The sequence below is a fragment of the Homo sapiens genome, chromosome 3 (assembly GCF_000001405.40).
Source record: "Homo sapiens chromosome 3, GRCh38.p14 Primary Assembly".
Taxonomy (NCBI): Eukaryota; Metazoa; Chordata; class Mammalia; order Primates; family Hominidae; genus Homo; species Homo sapiens.
Genome location: NC_000003.12, coordinates 45,327,814 through 45,348,239, shown reverse-complemented (window position 1 = coordinate 45,348,239; position 20,426 = coordinate 45,327,814). Strand labels below are relative to the sequence as shown.

The following is a 20,426-nucleotide window of genomic DNA, read 5'->3' as shown; positions in this document are numbered from 1 at the left end:
TGTAATCCCAGCACTTTGGGAGGCCAAGGTGGGTGGATCACCCGAGGTCAGGAGTTCGAGACCAGCCTGGCCAACATGGCGAAACCCTGTCTCTACTAAAAATACAAAAAATAGCTGGGTGTGGTAGTGGGTGCCTGTAATCCCAGCTACTTGGGAGGCTCAGGAGAATCATCTGAACCTGGGAGGCGGAGGTTGCAGTGCATCAAAATCGTGCCATTGCACTCCAGCCTGGGTGACAAGAGCAAAACTCTGCCTCAAAAAAAAAAAAAAAAGCATACAAACCCCTAGACCTGCCCACAAGGTGCCACCCGAGGACTTCATCCCCCTCCATTGGCCTTGAGGGAAAACACTGTTCTGTAGCATCTACTGGATGCCTCCTACCCACAGACCAGCGTTTTTGTCAGGCTGAGTGGCAGGCACATGACCAGTGGCATCTTTCCCAGCAGCATAAACGTCTTTGAGGAATTCCTCTGAGAGAAAGATATTTGTCTTGGTGCTGAAATATTTCTGCCTGTGAATTTGAGCTGAATGTCTGACCCTTAGGTAACAACAACAGCAGTGGCTCCAGTGTCCAAGATGGAAGTAGCTCCTATTGGGACCAGCCTTTTCCCAAGCTGTCCTCTTCCTGAATTTTCCAGCCTGAATCTTTCCTGACAGAAGTCACCTGTGTTAGAGGGTGCTGATCAGAAGCCCTGCTGCTCCCTGCTTCTCAGTGAATTTGCAGTGCATGTGTGTGGGTGTGTTTAAGTGTATGCGTGTGTGAGGGAAGTAGGAAAATGAACACATTTTCATTCAGGCTCTTCCCTACCTCATCGACAGACACACTTTCTTGGCATGTATGTTTGCTGGCCTGTGTGTCTATGGCACACCTGCTGGCCTTGACTGTGGGGCTGTAGTCTGGCCTCACCACACTGGTTCACTACCTTTTAAGGATCAGGCTCTTTTCAAGTTCACAATCACTGGGCATCCTCAAAGGGTTTTGTTTTTCTTCCCTTAAGCAAAAACACCTTCTAGCCCAGGTAACATTAATCTGATAATCACATGGAGGTAATTATCCAAATGCAGACCTCAGATTCTATAAACAGCCACAGCCACAGCCCCCACTGGGACTCAGCAAAACTCTGCGTCCAGAGATCTCGGCAGACCCCAGCATCTGTCACAACAACCAGTGTGGTTTATAAAGGCTCATTACAGAACTCAGGTAGGCTCCAGAGATGTTGCCTTCCTGCTCCTAATTGCTTAATTAGATGGAATATTGCCTGCTGGATTCAAATCAGATGAGTTTCCCTAGATACATCTGACTACAGAAGGCTCTGGGCTTGGCCGGGAGCGGTGGCTCACGCCTGTAATCCCAGCACCTTGGGAGGCCAAGGCTGGCAGATCATGAGGTCAGGAGATGGAGACCATCCTGGCTAACATGGTGAAACCCCCATCTTTACTAAAAATACAAAAAGTTAGCTGGGCGTGGTGGTGGGCACCTGTAGTCCCAGCTACTCAGGAGGCTGAGGCAGGAGAATGGCATGAACCCGGGAGGTGGAGCTTGCAGTGAGCCGAGATTGCGCCACCGCACTCCAGCCTGGGCAACAGAGTGAGACTCCGTCTAAAAAAAAAAAAAAAAAAAAAAAAGAAGGCTCTGGACTAATTGTTGGGGTAGGGATGGAGATGGGGGGGGCAGTACAATGACCTGGAAGATTCTAGAACCAGCAGTATGATAGGATGAGGCCTGTGTTAACAGAAGGGAAGTAAGGCTCTTGTCTCACACTGCCACGAGTTAGCTGTGTGGCCTGAACACCCAGCTGTCCCTTTGGGCCTTAGTTCCTTCCTCAGTAAAATAAGGTGAGTGAGTCAGCTTCCCTCAGGTTCTGCAACGTCAGGGCTGCAAGTAGCTGAAGACCGCCATTCACACTGGTTTGTCATTTCACATAACAAAGGGCAGAAGAGGGTATGCCTCAGGCAAGGACAATCAACAGATTTATATCATCAAAGGCTCAGGTTCTTTCTCTGCTAGTTATTCTGCTCAGTGGCACATTATGGTCACAAAGTGTCTGTGGCCATTCCAGGTGTCACATCCCAGTAGACACTGTTCAGAGATGGAGAGGGCCCATTTCAGTCTTCTTATTGAGAGGAGGACGTCTTTCCCAGAGGCTCCTCCCAGAGACCACCTCTCTCATTGGAGGAACTTGGTCACATGCTCACTCTCAAGCCAATCACTGATAAGGGGCATGGGACTACTTTGATGAGCTTAGAACCAATCTGGATTTAACTCTGTGGGTAAAGGTGGCACTTGCAAAATATTGAGATTCTGTTAACAGGAGAGAAGGTAGAGTGTGGATGTTAAACAGGCAACCAAGACCATCTGCTATACATACCACTTACATTTAAGTGGAAAATAGGACACAGGTCTGGTCCTATTTCCCCCATCGCCCATTTCTCTCTTCCTTCTTTTAATCCTTTTTATCCCTTTATCCTAGTTAACATTTCAGAGACATAAGACAAATCAAACTGGCTTGAGAAATTTTTTTTAAAAAAAGGAATTTGTTGACACATGTAACTGAAAAGTTGAGGAGGAGATCTGGTCTGGCTTGATCCAGAGGTTTGAACAGTATCATCAAGGAAGGCTGGATCTGTCTCTCCTCCTCTTCATTGCCAGCTCCCTGACAGCTCGTTTCTGTCTCCACTTCTCAGCAGATATGGCCTTTGGTAACTCAAGGCTTACATGGTCCTCAGTACCCAGGCTCTGGAAGGAGGATGTTCCAGTTATCTACTGCTGCATAAAAAATGCTATGGACTAAATGTGTATTTCCCCCAAATCCATATGTTGAAGCCCTATTCCCCAGTGTGATAATATTTGTAGATGGACCCTTTGGGAGGTAATTAGGGTTAGATGAAGTCATGAGGGTGGTGCCTGCATGATGGGATTAGTGCCCTTATAAGAAGCAATACTAGAGAGCTTGTGCTCTCCAAAGAGCACAAGAGAAAAGCCATGCAAGCACGCAGCAAGAAGATGGCTGTCTGCAAGCTAGGAAGAGAACCCTTACCAAGAACTGAATCAGCTGCATCTCCATCTTGTACTTCCAGACTCCAGAACTGTGAGTAAATTTGTGCTAAGTCACCTCATCTGTGTTGTTTTGTTATAGCCGCCTGAACTAAGACAACAAATCATCCTCAAATTTAGTGGCATAAAACATCAGCTGTTTATTATGTTTGTCGATTCCATGGGTCAAAATTTGGACAAGGCATGGTGGGATAGCTGGTCTCTGCTCCATGATGTCTGGGACCTCAGTTGGTGTCTTAGTCTACTCGGGCTGTCATAACAAAATACTATAGACTTGGCGGCTTAAATAAAAGAAATTGATTTTCTCACAGTTCTGGAGGCTGGAAGTCTGACAACAGGCAGTCAGCCTGACTGAGTTCTGGTGAGGGCTCTCTTCCTGGCTTGTAGACAGCCACCTTCTCATTGTGTCCTCGCATGGGCTTTCCTCAGTACATGCATGTGGAGAGGGAGAGAAAGCCATCTGGTAGCTCTTCTTATAAGAGCACTAATCCCATCATGAATGCCCCACTCTCAGGACCTCATCTAACCCGAATCACCTCCCAAAAGGGCCATCTCCAAATACCATTACGTTGGGGGTTGAGGCTTCAACGTATGAATTTGGGGGCGGTTACAAACATTCAGTTCATAAGAGCTGACAGCTGGGAAGCCTCAAATGGCTGGGGGGTGGTATCACCTAAGTGCCTTTTTACTGTGTCTGGCACCTTGAGTGGAATGGCTTAAATGACTGGGGGTTTATTCTCATTCTTTCTGTCTTTCTTCTTCCACATGGTGGCTCAGGGCTCTAAGAGCAAGTGTTTCAGCAAACAAGACAGAGTCCAGAGATCTTTTAGGCCATGGCCTCAAATGTCAAATGGCATCACTTCTGTTATAGTCTATGGTCAAAGCAGTTACAATCCTGCCCAGATTCAAGAGAAGCATCTTGGGCTACATGGGCTCTAGTTCTAAGGGAGAAGTATCAAAAACTTGTGGCGTTCTGTTAAAACTACCACAAGGGGTCCCTCTTTCTCACAAAGTCCTTACAATCCCAGGAAAGGACTCTGATTGGCCTCACTGGGGTCCAAGGACAACCTCTGGACCAATCACCATCAGTATGTTGATTTAGTGCCCTGAGTGGCCAGTCTCAGGTATAAGCTCCACCTTGTGCCATTTGATGGATTGTGTGACCTTGGAGGAAGAGGGTTTGGCTACGGAGTGCTTATGAAATTGACAGGAATCTTTGAGTTCATGGCAAGAGTCCATCAGCCTTTAAATGATGAAATGTACAGATTATTTTTTACCATTGTCTACTGGTAAAAATCAAGGAAGAAGGATAACTTGAGGCAAATAGCACTAAAACTGTACCCAAGCACTAAAACTGTACCTCACCCCTACCACTGCCTGCTCTTTGCTTGCGAGGACCAGGCAGGGAATTGGTCACCACATTCCCAGCCTCTCTCAACTTCCTGTCAATTCTCACCTCCACCTGGTGTCTCTCTCTCTCTCTTCTCCTCTTTCTCCAATCCAGCTCACCCTTTGCCAGACTTCACTTCCTGAAATGTGTCTTCTGCTTAGGTTGTTCCGCGACCCAAACTCCTGAGTAGGTCATTCAAAGCCAATCAAGGCCTGGCCCCAATTTACCTTTCTGACTCTATCTCCTGGAGCTCATCTGTGGGAACCCCTACCTACAGTCAGGCAGATCCTGAGAACACGCCTCGTGTTCTACCTCTGCTAACTTCGCCTGCCTTTCTGCACACCTGCACCTGAGCCAGCCTTCAAGGTCCAACTTCAGATCACCATCTCCTTGACACCATTCCTGATCACCCCAGACTTTGGGGTTTTACTCCTTCCCTAAACAAGTGCACTACATGCTATGTCCATTTCTGGTCTCTGTGTTTGTCTTCTCCATCCCATTCCCGCCAGATCCCCCTGGCAAGCTTGGTGTCCCCAACCCAGGAAGAATTATCCCCTGAAGCAGAAGGAATTTAAGAAACTTCAGGGATTCAGTATTAAGTTGCTTTTGTTGTTCAGCTCTGACTAGTGTGTCCCAGTACTGATAACTGGGTTCCTAACTTGTGTCCTGCAATAATAATGACATCCAACATTTCCAAGCATGGCCTAAGTGCTTTGATATATCCCCTTATTTAATAATAAAAACAATGCTAGTATTTTTTCCCCATTTTACAGAGGCAACTGAGACACAAAGAAGTTAAGTAATCTGTCCCCATTCAAGAGAGAGAACATGGGCTCCACCTCTTGATGAGGGAGTGGCAAACTTTAGGAGAGCATGTGGGACCAGAAACATTGTCGCAACCATTTGTAGAAAATACAGTCTAACACATCATACTCTCCTTCAGGTAATTTTATTTTCAGATAATTACTTTTTATTTTCAGATAATTTGAGAATTATAGAAGAGAGTTGTAAGGATGGTACAGAAAATTCCTGTAGGCCCTTCATCAAAGTTCCTCTAGTATTAATAACATCTTACATCCTCATGGTACACTGCTCAGGGCACATTCAGTCATTATATCTCCCAGTGTCCTCTGATCTGGGCAGTGTCTGGGCCTTTCCCTATCTTTTCTGACCATGATACTTTTGAAGAAGCTTGGGTCAGGTGTATACTCTCACTTTGAAAAAGCACACAAATCTCATGTTCAGCTTTAAGGATGTATGAAATTTTAAAAGTCAATAAAATTCCATGACCGCAGTGAAAATAGTTCTCGTATTGTATGCTCTTCCCATCATATATGACTGTCTAAAGATTGCGAACTCCTTGCCTGAGGCATATAAACCCTCTTTCTTACATGGAAAACAGCTCCTAGGCTGATCTGAGCTTCTGTTTCCACATCCAATAATAAAGGGGTAGTGGGGTGGACTACATAATCTACACTCTCTGCCTTGGCTCTAAAAGTAGATTTCATAAACTAAATTTCATGGACTTAAAAATAGAATTTTTGCTCCTTAATTCTTGATCAAATTTCTACCTTAATTTTAAGGGAAACACAATTAAATCAATATCTTTTCAAGTCTAAAACCTACACTTTTTCTGTCTCTGGGCATTCCTCTCCCCGTCTCTCCACTTCACCAGGCTCAAGACTGTGGGAGGACAGCGGGTGAGCTCAGGAGTCATCATCCCCCAGCCACCAGTGTGCCACCAGCTTTAAGGAAGCATTCAGAGCAGTTCTGATGAGTGAATGGCATCTCTTTCAGATGGACTACCCCGTTTGCCTCCTCACTGCTCTGTTTCTGATGCAAGTTTACTAACTTACATAACTTCCAAGTGCATTTTTCCCTCTAAAATTACACAGTCAGGTCCTCCAGGGCAGTGACCTGGGGCACTATTTCCTTTCCCTGCCCACACTGTGTCCACTTTAGGGGTGGTCAGGGAATATGCAATGACCTACTCACTCCTTGGGTATCAGCAAGACTCGTTCTGGGTATCTCCTAGTAAAATAATTTTTCATTCATTCATTCAACAAATGTTTTTAGACACCTATTATATGCCAGGGGCTGTTCTAGCTGCGAGGCCCTATTCTGTTGGGGATAGGATGTCCAACCTCTCAGATATTTGATATTTGAACATTGCTCTGGAAAATCCCCATCAATTGCTGGCTAAATGTATTGGAAGGATAAAATGGGGTATACATGGTGGCAAAGCAATGTGTGTCTGGGTTTAAGAATAAACAACAGGTTGTTTTATTCCAGGTGAAATATACTATGGGTTTTGCTTGCTCTTTGGTCTTGGATTGATGAGTTTTGCTATGCTTTTGACTCAAATGGCCTGTTCCTAGGTGCAAGGAGAGCCTAGAAATGTAATAAAGGTAAAATGAGGTCTCTGGGTTTAGAATCCATGTACTTTAGAGCAAGACAATTAAACCCAGTGATTTTAGATGGGGCTGGGAGGCTCATCACAGAACCAGCTTTGATTAGAGCTGCTCATTGTGCTCTGCCTTCCTTGAAACCAAAGGGTGCAATTTGGAAGTCACTGGACATCAGGAGACTCCCAGTGCTTCTAGAAACTTACCATCTCTTCCAGTTCTGCATCCCCTGTTCAAATGTCCTGTCAGCCACACCCTGACACACTCCAGCTTCCCTCGGCCTCTAGGTGGATGGGGACAGGACAAACCACACTTCTGAAGTCTTGATGCTGCAGGGATGCTCATTTTACTGTCTCTCAGCTTCAGAGAGAAACCCTTTCCTTTTCAAATAGGATCCAACTGTTTAAGAAAAAACATCTATTGAACTTTGTCTCTTCCTTTGGTCTCTTGGAAAGATGGATTTAGGTTTTGATTCTATCAAAACGAGGAATTGGCCTTATTCTGTAAGATCAGAGATTGGAGGGATTTCTCTTTCCTTTTCTTTTTCTTTTTTTTTTTTTTTTCATTTTTTAAACCCTAAGGGGCAGGTACTGACTGTCAAGAGAGCCACATCTGACTGCAGACTCCCCAGCGTGGCACCGGCTCTCCTGTGTGCAGACCTCAAGTACAGGTAGCCTGTGCTCCCTATCTGCAAGGGGCCGAGGCCCAGAGCCCATCTCAGAGGTCTGGGATTCAGCTGCCATGGGGTACATTCCAGGAGGTGCCATTCACATTATCATCCATGATGAGGTGATGCTGAGCCTGACAGATAAGAAAAGGGTCCCACTCTCCAACAGGCACTTGAAGCTCCAAAGACCTAGATTATTTAATGGAAGGAGGTAGTGTTGCTCCTGCGTCTAAACTGCTGTGTGACCTTCAGCATGGCGCTGAACCTCTCGGACCTGTGTTTCACCCATAAAGTATGGGGTTGAGCCAGACTGGCCTCCTGTTAGGTGCAGGCACAGGCAGGTTCCCTCTTCTTCAAACTGATGCTGACACAGCAAGAGGCCATTACATTAAGGGTTCCATCTTGACCAAATTTGCTTGGCCCCATTATAAAACATAGGTAAAATGTTTCCCTCTCACAAGCACTAAGGAGCATAAAGCTTCCCTTTTTCTTGCTTTTTTTTTTCTTAAATAGCAATAGCCACCAAAATGATACTTTGCATTGAAAATAGAAGGAAGTTGGGAGTGCAAGAGTGTCTGGAGGAGGGTACCAGGAATGAAAGATACATTTGCAAATGTAGTAAGAGGTGACTGGGTGTGATGCACGACTGCTGTTTGCTTGCTGGCTGGCATCCATCCCTCTTTCTCCACTATTGGGAGCTGATAGTGGTGGTGAACTGGCCTGTTTCTCCCGACCCTATCCACCTCTCCACCCCAGATACTGAGCCCTGCACCTTCATGCCTTAATTACTTTGAAATACTTCTTTACAATCACACACCCGATGACTCCCTTCATCATGCTGAATTCTAAATTGCGTTTGAAGTAGCTTCTCCAATGTTAGCCCTCTGATTAGCTTCTTTCTGAGCTCCAAAATGAGGGTAATCAGAGTGGAGGAAAGATTTTACTGCATGTGCTAGGAGGGCGGAGAGGGCAGGGGAGCTCTCCATCACAATTTTCTAATAAGACTTTAAGAGCTTTTAAAAAGTAGGCTCATATCACCCCGCAGGCCTGTGGTCACTCTTCCCCTCATCCCTTCGGGAACACCAGTTCTCAGGATCATCCTCTGCATCTGACTGCACTGCCTTTAGCATTTCCTTCAGCCCTGGTCTCTCCTCTTCTGAGATTACACTTTGTTCCTGAGATTAGGAAAGTGATTATAGCCCTGTTGTCAAGTCACATCCAGCCAGCCCCTACAATCTAGATCAGCTTGACTCAACTCCCCCACTGCACAGCCTGTGGAAGCCCAAAGGCCCCTTCCAAGTTTTCTGAGGATTTCCAAGTGGGGTCTGGCTTTTCCATGGTCATGTCTTCCCAGACATGGGAAGATTTCTAGGGAAGCTAATGAAGCTTCAACTCAAGGCACTTACTTGTGGGAGGTCCCCAGCAAAGTGTTCATGTAGTTGTGTTGTTTTGTCCAATTTGCAATATTTTAATATTCTTTTCCCTTAAGAGGATCTCACCAGACTGAGCTTCAGATTCCACGAAATTTGGACCTGCCCCTGCATCTAGCCCCCATCTCTGTGCCAAAGGGCATTCACCCAGGCACGAGGCTCAGCACTTTGTTTTTGACCAAAAGACCTCCAAGTATTACTGAGTATAGTGTCTTCTCTAAAATGTGTGTGCACATGAGCATGCATATTGGGAGAGTGATGGTGATGGCATGTGAAGAAGGGTTTATGACTTACAATTGGCTGCCAGACGTCCTCATTCTTAGAAATTCCTTTTGGCCCCCAGTGTGGGTCATTTCTGTGACCTTCACCCCAGGGACCCACCCTCTCAGTAACCCTCCAGCTTCTCTCCACTTCTCTGTGCCTTTGCCTCCTTTCTCTTTCCTTCTTCCTCTCAGGAGCACAACAACTTCCTTTTACTCTCTCATTAACCATTACCTTTGGGTTCTTACCCTGTAACCTCCCCTCTCTGCCTTTAAGAAGTTTATCATTGTATTTCCCCAGGCTGGCTTCTCTACGAGGGTTTTGGGTACCTGCTGTTGAGAGAGTAGATACTTTCTACATCACTACCTGGCTTTCACAGAAAGTACTGGGCTTTTCTTTCTAGGGTTTGGGTGAGCAGACCCCGAAACCTGGAGATAACACAGTAATAGAGGTGCCAGAGAAACCTCAGGAAGCAGAGATGCCTGGGAAAAGGTGGGTGGGCTGGGAGCTTTGGTACAAAGTGCGTGTGTTGAGATGCTGGTCCCAGATCCCTCTTTTCCATCCTTTGGAAAGCCCCACGACTTACAGCCAGCTGAATAACACTGAGGAGAAGGGACCATTCCCTTCCTTGTGCCCAACTGGATTCCAACAGCTGTTCCTGGTGGCTCCCATAATACTGTCATATGTTTTTGTTTGTGTGTCTGTTTCTGCCTCCACAATTCTAAGTCCTCGGTGCCAAGACCATACGTTATTCATTTCTGTTCCTCCCCATTTAGCACAGGGCCTGGAGTGCAGACCTCTCTCGAGAAGTTAGATTGTTAAACTGTGATCTGCATTTGGCAGAGCTGGATGGATATAGTGAATCTGGAGCTTTGTGACCAACCTTTGTCCTGCGGCACTAATAGAAAGGACTGAGGGGAAAATGCCGTCAACTTTGCCTGGGTGTTGGGGGGGAAAGCAGATTGCAGGGTGCTTTTCAAATGCAGAACACCTCCAAAACGCCAACGCAGAGTGAGCGTTCCCTATCAGAAAAGCCGCCTACACAGCTCAGGAGAATAAAAGATTTCCAGGCTGACTTGATTTTTGTTAAACATTGATCTTTGACTTTATAATCGGTTGCAAATTCTGCTCAAATTAGAAGGCCAGCTGGTCTTCCGTGGAAACCTAGATTTTAGATGGGGAAAAAGAGGAATTAGAACGCATTAATTTTTAAGAAATAATATTTAAATTAAGAAGGAATATTTAATTACAGTTTACAATGAATTCCTTTTGGTTTTAAAACATCCTAATTATTTAGAATTTACAAGGACTTGAAGACCTATCTACACCATCCCAATTATCAAGGTGCATTTTTCCTGTGAAAACGGTTACATAGTAGTCTCAGTTGCTATTCTAATATATATACTTTTCCTGGAAAATAATGTAGATTTCCATTATATCAAAATGATATAGGCCATTTTGGAAAATACTGACTCCTGTATGTTAATACTAGAGCTGGAAATGACTTCATGGGCCTTACAGTCTATCCCTCTGCCTTCTGGAAGATCTCAGTATCTGAAGCCATGACTGTTGAATTCTGTTTTAGAAAGCCCTCCTGAATCTGACTTTCACAGTATCTGGGTTTTAGTACCCGATCATTATTCCTACCAGGATGTTCTTTCCAGAAAACTGATTTTCTCCAGCTGCAACTTAAGCATGGATCTGTCGAAAGTGGTAATGAATAACCAATGTGTGTGTTTGTTTGTTTTTTTTTTTTAGGAGGAGGAGTCTCACTCTGTCTCCCAGGCTGGAGTGCAGTGTCGCGATCTCGACTCACTGCAACCTCCGCCTCCCAGGTTCAAGCTATTCTCCTGCCTCAGCTTCCCGAGTAGCTGGGACTACAGGCGCTCACCACCATGCCCGGCTAATTTTTTGTATTTTTAGTAGAGATGGGGTTTCACTGTGTTAGCCAGGATGGTCTCCATCTCCTGACCTCATGATCCGCCTGCCTCGGCCTCCCAAAGTGCTGGGATTACAGGTGTGAACCACTGTGCCCGGCCCCAATGTGGTTTTTAAGTCCACTTTCCTCCCAGGGTTAAGGCAGCTGTAGGTATGCTATTTTCCCTTGGCCTCTCCCCTCATCCATTCTCTGCCCTGCCTTGTGCACCAGGAGGCTGGTCCCAAGGACTGCATCACCAGGGGTCCCCGCACCTTCTAGATTCTGGTTGAGTCAGCCAGTGGGAAGCACTGGCAGAGACCTGTGTCGGGGAGGAGAGAGAAGCCAGAGAGGCCTTCTCTGTTTGGCCCCTTCTCTAGCCATGGTGGTGGCCCTATGACCGCAGCACCCATGGAGTGGCCCCTCCTCACAGCCCCAGCTCTCTCAAGGCTCTGAGAATAACTCTTTCTCCTCCTCCAGTCTTCAGGTCCAGAGGTGACAACAGCCCCGCACTGTGGCTAGCCTCTGGATTTCCTTCACCTGCTCACCCTCTGTGAACAGTCCCATCATTGAAGTCTCTTGAACCATAGGGCTGGCTTCTGCTTCTGGCCAGAACTCCACCTCATAAGCTGGGTGATAAGGTGTCGAAAGCCAATTACCTTTTTGTGGAGCAGGGGAGCCCCTTCAGGTATCATGTTTGTCCCATTTCCTCCCTGAATTACCTCAGAGGGTCTGGGTTTCCCCATTGGTCCCAAGGCCAGTGGAAACTTGTGTGTTGTGGACAAATCATGCTGTGCCCACCATGAAGAAGGTTCTGGAATGGGAGCTGGGAGCTGTGGGCGCTAATAGGTAGACCCTACTCCACAGTCCTGTGCCAGAGGGACGTGGACACAGGGTGGATAGTGCTGATGTCGTGGTCATTCTGTGGGTGGAGAAGGACCTCTGCAGTATGGGGAGAAGCCCCAGTCATCGGGCTCCAGGCAGAGACAGCCTCTGACCACAGCCGCCAAGACCTGCCTTTGGTATGCTCAGTCCTTTCTTGCGGCTCCCTGTGCAGATCCCTTTTCAGACCACAGCCCGGGTCCTCCCCTCCTGCCCTGCACAGCTCTCCCTGGATTCTCTTAAAACTTAGGACAGTGATATAAAATGTCTCAGAGTGGCCAGTGACACAGCCCTGAGAAACACCACTGGGAAAACCCCATGCTGACCCCTACACAACCTCTTCTTACCTGCAATGTGTGACAAGCCCCTTTACTCTCTGGGCCACAGTTTCCCCATCTATAAAGAGACACCCTGCCCATTTGCCCCACCAGGGGTTATCAGTGACTCTAATAATGTGTGCAGGGGTACTTTGAACATTGTTTTGGCATCACGTGGTCTTCTCTTTCTGACATCCCACATCCAAATCATCAGGAAATGCAGTAACTAAAGCATTTAAAGCACTAGACCAACAACAGCCTCCAAACTGGCTTTCCTGCTGCCACTTTGTCCCTGCTCCTGAGTCTGTGCTCTACCCACAGCTAGAGTCTTTCTTTAAGACATAAGTTAAAAACATGAGTGAAGATCCTGCAAAGGCTTCCCAGCTGATGTGGGCAAAAGCCAAAGTCATTTAAAGTCATCTACAAGGCCCCGACGATCTGCCAGAGAGTCCAGCCTTCCGATCTGCCAGAGAGTCCAGCCTTGGGCTCCAGGCCCTCCCTGGGCCATGCCCTGGGCCGCCTGCCTTCTAGTATGCCTGGCTTGCCAAGCACACACCCACCTCAGGGCCTTTGCTCCTGCTCCTACCTGTGCCTGGAGCCCCATGATCAGCTTCCTCAGCTCCTTCAGATCTCTGCTCAAACATCACTTTTGCAGCAAGGCCTTCCCTCACCTGTTAGCATCCTCATTCCAGGTACTCCCCATTCCCATGACTCGAGTTAGTTTTCTCCTTGACTCTCCCCTACCTAACACATGCTAACTGCTGCTCACCTGCCTGCTTGGTTCTGGCTCCCTACACAGAACAGTGGTTCATTGCTGGATCTGCAAAGCAGTGCCTGGCATGTTGTAGATGCTTGGCAAATATGTGCTGAATGAACGCATGGGATTAGATTTTATTCCCTTTGCTTTGACTTAGGTCTCTGTATGAAGGCAGGGCCTTCTCTATCTCAGTGAAGCCGTGTGTCATGTGAAATAAACCTGTGTGATGTGGGTAAGAGTCCACAGCTTTCGCCTGAGCTCATAATGAAAGGGGGCTGGTGGCGATGAGAGTACATGGGAAAATGCAATTTTTAAATGGGCATATAAAAATTAGGCTTGGAAATGCACAATCTCATATTTAAAAAAGAAGCTAGGACTGAAATATGTCTAGTGCTAATTTTATTCTACAAACATTGTTCTAAAAATGTAATGCCTTTATAATTTTCTATCTCCCGTGACAATACAATAGCTTTGATGCAATGGTTCCTTACAAAGAAGAAGTGGTGAGGATGAAATTGCAAGTGGGAGAGGGAGAGGGGCTGCAGGAGGGGAGGGGCTCTTCTGGAGAGGCTCCTACACCTCAAACAGGTGTGCCAAGAGCTGAGCAGAGACGAAAGCCTGTCTAACAGGGAGTTTTAACAGGGAAGAATTTGGGCTGGGACTTGGGGATGGGGGATGGGGGTGCATACCTGATAGGAAGGATGTCATAAGCAAAGGTGAGGAGGTAGAACTGGAGCGGGATGTAAATGACTTCATTAGAACAGAGAGCTGGAATGGGGCTGAGAATGCTGGCCAAGACCAATAAGAACGAGCTTCACTGCTGGGTCAGGAGTCCTGCCTGCAGCCTTCATCCAGTGCATGTTGATGGAGCACGGGATGCATGGCAGGTGCTAATCTCAGATCTGCAGTTATGGCCCTAAGCCAGGCAAAGCTCCCACCTGGAGCTCTTCTTGGAGAGATTGGTGGGCTTTGAGAGGGGACTGGAACACACAGCACCTGGACTCTGGGACCAGTGAAGACAGAACCCATCCACTACCTCTGATATCACCACTTCCCAGGGCCCCAGAATCTCTGCCTGAACAAAATGGCTCCAAGTGAAGCCCAAAGGATTTGAAGTTTTGGTTCATTTCCAGGCTGAAGGGAGCTGCATGTGTCACAGATGGACACAGTCACACACCATGTTGGAGTGAGGGGTTTGGGATCTGGCTCTGCCCCTCAGTAGCCATACAGCCTCGAGTGTGGCCCCTGCTTCTCCAAGGTTCATTTCCTTTTCTGTACAAGAGTGGCCCTAGGACCTACCTTCTGATGTATGGACTCAGTGAGCCTGTTCCTAAAACTCTGGGCACAGTGCCTGCCAAGAGGAAATGCCTGGGGTCTGTGGTCATGACTCTTCTGAGCAGGGAAATATCACCAGTAGATGGTCCCAGACACTGACACTTCTCTGACAACAGGGGGCACAGCCCAGTCAACAACCTGGAGGGGACGGGTTCCATGTTCAAGACATACATTAATGAAGAAGACTCACTTTTTTGTGGGCAAAAGCACAGCTATTGACACCTTTTCTTGGCCTGCTGCTTCAGTTGTTGAAAGTGTTTCCACATCTCCCACTTCCTTCCATCTGCACAGCTCTCCAGTGCGGTAAGTAGGATTCATGGTAGTCCCTGTAGGATAGAAGAAGGAGGGAGGCACCGGAGTGGCACCACAGCCCATCCCAGGTAACACTCAGCTGTGGTGCTGATGACGAGTGGCCCTGGCCAAGGCTGGCAGTGTGGCCAGAGCTCAGCCTTCCCAGAGCCCTTCCTACATGAGAGCCGACCATGGCTGGAAATGTCATCTCTCCTCCTTGTCCTGAGGCTGGAGTTAGGCCCCGACTCCCACCTGGGGGTTGTCCTCCCCTCTGTAAAGTGCTTCCTGTGGAGGTGCAGAAGGCACAGAAGCTGTTCTCTCGAGCTGGTTGCCTCCTGCTGTCTGGGTACCATGGCAACAGATAGGCTTCTCAGTACTTCTCAGGTACTTCCACTGCCTGATCCCAAGCAACACCACTGCCCAGGTTGACCCCACCAGGATTCACAGCTATTCTGAGCCAGCACCTTTTTTAGGCATTGAAAGCTGGGCTGTGGCAGACTTCCAGGTCACCCTAACATCAGGTCACCACTATCAGTTGCCTCCAGGGTGTCTGCCCCTTGGAGGTCTTTCTGTGAATTCCCTGGCTATGCCAGGAAGTTGGTGTCTGGCTCCTTACCACGTTTGAGAATTCTTGTTGATAGGATTCTTGATGATAAGTCCCTGTTAAAGTTGCAGCCACAGTACCTTTCACATAGTAGGTGCTCAGAAAAGGACCCCACAGCATACCTTGGTGCCAGACCTACATAGGCTGTGACAGGAAGAACCAACGACTTTTCAGGTCAATAGCTCACGGGAAGCGGGGGTGGGGGGAGCTAGCCCTGGAAACCTGATCACAGCATGATGGGCGCCAAGAGCATGAGTGTGCAGCCAGACTGCCATGGATTGAATCCTAACTCCATTATGTAATTAGCTAAGGACCTTGGGCAAGTTGTTTAACACCTCTGTACCTCAGTTTCCTTACCTGTAAAAATGGAAGAGATAAAAGTATCTTTCCTGGCCGGGCATGGTAGCTCACGCCTGTAATCCCAGCACTTTGGGAGGCCGAGGTGGGAGGATCACTTGAGGTCACGGGTTTGAGACCAGCCTGGCCAACATGGTGAAACCTCGTCTCTACTAAAAATACAAAAATTAGCCAGATGTAGTGGCATGTGCCTGTACTCCCAGCTACTTGGGACACTGAGTCAGGAGAATCACTTGAACCTGGGATTTGGAGGTTGCAGTGGGCAGAGATTGCACCACTGCACTCCAGCCTGGGCAACAAAGTGAGACTTTGTCTCAAAAATAAATAAATAAATAAATTTATCTTTCCCTTTAGTACTTGGAAGGATTGAATGAAGTAATTCCAGCAGACCATGGAAAATTGGTCCTGGTACATCACTAATGCTCCATATGTATTCACTGGCAGTATTTATCATAATTTGGGTATGCTAAAATAAAAAGAAGGTCAGAAAACAGAATATTTTGTGGAAACCATTACTATATATATGCACTGAAAATACATGGAAATAGGTGCTCAAAAATTCCAATAAGGGTTATCTGTGGCTGGTGGGATTATGGATGACTTTCAGTTTCTTTTATATATATATTTTTAATTCCCAACTTTTCTGCAGTGAACTTATATAAAATGACTTTTGAAATGAGATATTTTTAAAGCTTCTTTCAGAAAACCACCTGAGACCTCTAATGCCTCCTCATCCTGAATATCGTTTTGGGTTCTAAGGAGATATTCCTGCTGTTTCCAATTGCCTGGGAACAAAAGGAAACCCGCTGAGACATTTTAGCTCGAGCAGTGGAGGCTATGTTTCTGCAGTATTTTGCCTGTACACCCAACTAGAAAATGAGACATCTTGTGTTTTGAGTGAATCTCTTCCATTAATCATGGGGATACTCCAGGTCTATCCGGCAGAGTGATTGGTATAATTACAGCCTCCATCTTCAAGGATAATGTTGGCAGTCAAGTGCAGTGGGCGTGAAGTAAGCGGAGTCTTCCCAGAGCTTGTAGAGATGTGATTGCTTTCCTGAGTCACAGAAGCAAAGGGCAAGACGGGCTGGGTGGTCCATAGATTTCAGGTGTAGACAGAAGTGTGGCCATAGCTATTGAGAGGACTTCCCAAGGATTCTCCAATATGTAAATACACATGGTGTTGGCTGGAATATTAGGAAAGGATTTTAATAGCCCAGGAATTTCCTTAAGGACAGATTACCCAAGTCTGGCAAGTGAGTTCTCCAGCCAGGCTCTGTATCTCTTTTGCAAGTTAAAGCAGTTTGTACCCATCAAAAGGCTATGACTACTTCAGAGGTTCACTAAAAAATACACAAATTTTAGAGCCCAAGAGGTGGATGGAAAACATGACAAATAAAACATGCCAGTGCCCTGCCACCAGGCCATCTGTCCTCTCTGTTCTCTACTCTGCTAGTAGCTGTGGCTCCCTGGGGGTCTTTGGGCAATGCCAAGAAGATAGAAGCTGACCTGGCTCTGGGAATCCTAGAAAACAACCTCCTCCTCCCTCCTGGTGTCCACCAGTGCTAACGGAATATGTCTCAAGCTCAGCTCAAAGAAGAAAATTGTCACAAAGATTCACACAAGGTATGCCCATGTCTATAAATAATAACAAAACAACAAATCCTTTCCAATTCAGCCCTCTTCCATCACCATAACAACCCCCTTCTAATAAAGAAGAAGGATCAAGACAGGCAGAATGAGGAGCCTGGATGTTTCTCATCGGGGGTTTTCTTAACCCTCCAATCTTTTTGTGGTTTTGGCATCTTGAGACGTACAACATGCGTCAGTGAGCTCTGTGACCACCACCAGGTGGATCCTGCTGCCAACAATAACTCTTAAATCCCTGCTTGTCCTCCCCTACCTGTGCACCCAACCTCAGAATATGACAAGCACCACAGCTACATTAATCACAGGAAGCAAACAGAGGAAAGATGAAGGCTTGGAATGAAATCTATCCTATGTATCCTAATTTCAGGAGGAAGTGTACAAAGCCCTACAAAACGGAGAGAATGCAGGAACTGCAGGCAGTCAGTGTCTTTAGTTCTGGGACAATAAAATGAGGAATTAGCTATCCTAAGGTGAGAACCACAGGCGGAGTTCACAGTGAGGCATATGGCAGTGTCTTGGGCCATTGCTGGTCAGCGGGTGTGGCAGTTAGGAGGGAGAACTGGAGCAAGGAGGGTGCGGGCTGATGAGTGGGCCCCTCTCTCAGTGCCTCCAGCCAGCACCAGCCTTCGCTTCTGCCTCACATATCTCGCAGAACTTCAATGTTGGCCACATCAAACCCCACACTATACAAGGAACAGGATTTGGGACAGTGTTTTTCCCAGAGTAAACACTGACAACATAACAATCCAGCACAGCTTGCAAACTAAATTGGGGTGAGGCACATTTAGGATGTCTGCTCTGCAAGAGACACAGTCTGTCAGCCGGCCAGAAGGATGCTTAACCTGGAGATGAGAGAGGAGGATGCAGGGCCAGGCAGGTTTGAAGTCCTCCTCCCCACAGCTGCCTTTCTATTCTAGCTTGCCCTCGTTTCCTATGAGAGTCTTCTCCGCTTTTAAGTCTACCTGGTATTTAGCAGCGTGAGTTTGTGTCAGTCAGGGTTCAGTACAGGAAATAGAGCAGAAAAGGATTTAACACAGGGAACTGTGCTTACAAATGTTGTTGGAAGGGGTGGGAAAGTGAAGTCTGGAGGCACCACTGGCCTGTGGACTTCAAGATCCAGCCTCACAGCCGAGGTCTACAGGCAGGAGGTCACCACCACGAAGCTGTGATGGCAGTACCCATGCCCAAAGGGGCTTAACTGCCAGCCCTCTCTGCACCACGTCTCCCTTCCTGTATTAGTTTTCTGTGGCTGCCAAAACAAAGAACCACACACTGGATGGCTTAAACAACAGAAATTTATTCTCTCACAGTTCTGGGGGCCAGAAGTCTGAAATCAAGGTTTCCACAGGGACATGCTCTGTCTGAGACTCTGGGTAGAATCCTTCCTTGCATCTTCCCAGCCTCTGGTGGTGGCCAGCAATCCTTGGCACTCCTTCCGCCTGCATCTCTCCACGCTCTGCCTCTGCGTCACATGGAGTTCTTCTCCCTGTGTGTCTGTCTCCACATGGCATTTTCCTCCTATAAGAATACCAGTCAGCCAGGTGCGGTGGCTCACGCCTGTAATCCCGGCATTTTGGGAGGCCGAGGCAGACAGATCACTTAAGGTCAGGAATTCAAGACCAGCGCGGGCAACATGGGGAAACACCATCTCTACTAAAACTACAAAACTTAGCCAAGTGTGGTGGCATGCACCTGTAGTTCCAGTTACTCGGGAGGCTGAGGCAAGAGAATCACTTGAACCTGGGAGGCGGAGGCTCCAGTGAGCTGCAATTGCGCCACTGCACTCCAGCCTGGGTGACAGAGCAAGACTCTATCTCCAAAAAAAACAAAAAAACAAAAAAAAACAAAAAACCAGTCATATTAGATTGGGGTCCTCTCTAATGACACCTTCTTAAATGTTCTTAAATTGATTACGTCTATAAAGACCCTATTTCCAAATAAGGGGAATTCACATTTACAGGTATTTGACCTTAGAACTTCAACAGATCTTTATGAGGAAAACAATTTAACCCATAACTCTAACCTAGCATTGAAGCATCTCATTGGCAGAACCTCATTCACATCCAGATCCCCAGCCAAGCAGTCTGGGAAACACAGTACTAGCTTTCGGACTCTCCAAATAGAGTGAGGTTGAATAGAAAGAGGAGAGCCTGACTGTGTGTCCAGCCCAGGAGGCCACTGTACAAGCACCACCGTGTTCTGACTGAACAGACGATGTAATTGTGCTACACAGAATGAGAGATGGTTCAGGGGAGTGGTTAGCTGCACGGGCTCTGATGTCTGAATGTTAGCCCTTCCCCTGCTGGCTGTGAGGCCTTGGACTAGTTACTTCTCCTCTGTAACCCTCAGCTTCCCCACCTGTAAACGTGAATAATAATCACAGCCATTTCTCAGGTTTTAAGTGAGGGTTAAATGAGACAATGGACTCAAAGTCCCAGGGGCCAGGCATAGGGTAAGCAGTCTACAGATGGTAACGTCTATTAAATTACCAAACTTACTAGGTTTATTCTGTGTCCCACCATGGTAGAGAATTGGATGAACCAGAAGCAGAGACGCACTGTATAGAAGAGTCCACAGAATATTTAGAACCTTATGTAAAAATCAGAAACTCCAAGAATGCCAGCCAAGAATTTTCTGAGGTAAGAATTTTCTCATTCCAAGCAATGACCCATCAGAGAATCAAGAAGCTAAGGGATTTGTGTCTAGAATAGATTTATTCAAGTTCTGCTTGGGATGACCTAACTTTAGTTGAGTTAGAAAATAAAAAGTGGTTGTCAACCTATACATGGGTGTTTTCCTAGACAAGTATTGTTCCATGTTTATCTTCATGAAAAAGGGAAACAAAAGTCACACTAGCCATACTTAGGATTCGGATCACAAATTTTTTTTTCATTTTAACATGCACAGTAGATCAGACATAGCTTTGTTGTGGTCAGCACAACCTGGATAGAAACATATTTTGAGTTTTTCTCTTATTAAATCTGTCTCTTTAAGTGTGATAAAGCAGTTGAGATAGAAATCAGATATTTACTCCTCAGACTGGAGTAAAATTTTCATAGAGAAATTTAGCTGACAAATATTAAGCATTATGCAATTCAATAATAAAACAA

At 46.7% G+C, this 20,426-nt stretch overlaps 2 long non-coding RNA genes across 4 annotated transcripts in view, besides 1 other annotated feature; one reads left to right on the top strand and one right to left on the bottom strand.

The window, feature by feature from the left end:
- Nucleotides 1,725-2,250: an enhancer, noted in NCBI's record as "NANOG hESC enhancer chr3:45387482-45388007 (GRCh37/hg19 assembly coordinates)". NCBI's record gives its function as "activates a minimal SCP1, AML or CMV promoter by ChIP-STARR-seq in naive H9 embryonic stem cells {active_cell/tissue: H9 hESC(naive)}" and the evidence as "EXISTENCE:reporter gene assay evidence [ECO:0000049][PMID:30033119]".
- Nucleotides 1,749-20,407, top strand: LOC105377062 (uncharacterized). Of its 2 annotated transcripts, XR_940797.2 has the most exons (4): nucleotides 1,749-1,836; nucleotides 5,219-5,388; nucleotides 17,126-17,292; nucleotides 19,844-20,407. It is a non-coding gene; the product is annotated as an uncharacterized LOC105377062 (long non-coding RNA). The 2 variants fall into 2 exon arrangements; XR_940798.2 differs by lacking the exon at nucleotides 17,126-17,292.
- The window catches only part of LOC105377061 (uncharacterized), a 30,085-nt gene continuing 19,924 nt past the window's right edge, over nucleotides 10,266-20,426 (bottom strand). The window contains exons 3-4 of one of the 2 annotated variants that reach the window (XR_001740679.1): nucleotides 14,605-14,740; nucleotides 10,266-10,372 (exon numbers count right to left, since the gene is read on the bottom strand). This is a non-coding gene — a long non-coding RNA (uncharacterized LOC105377061). Of the gene's footprint in view, nucleotides 10,373-13,909; nucleotides 14,741-20,426 lie in introns of those variants that run through there. The other variant, XR_001740678.1, reaches the window with a different exon arrangement.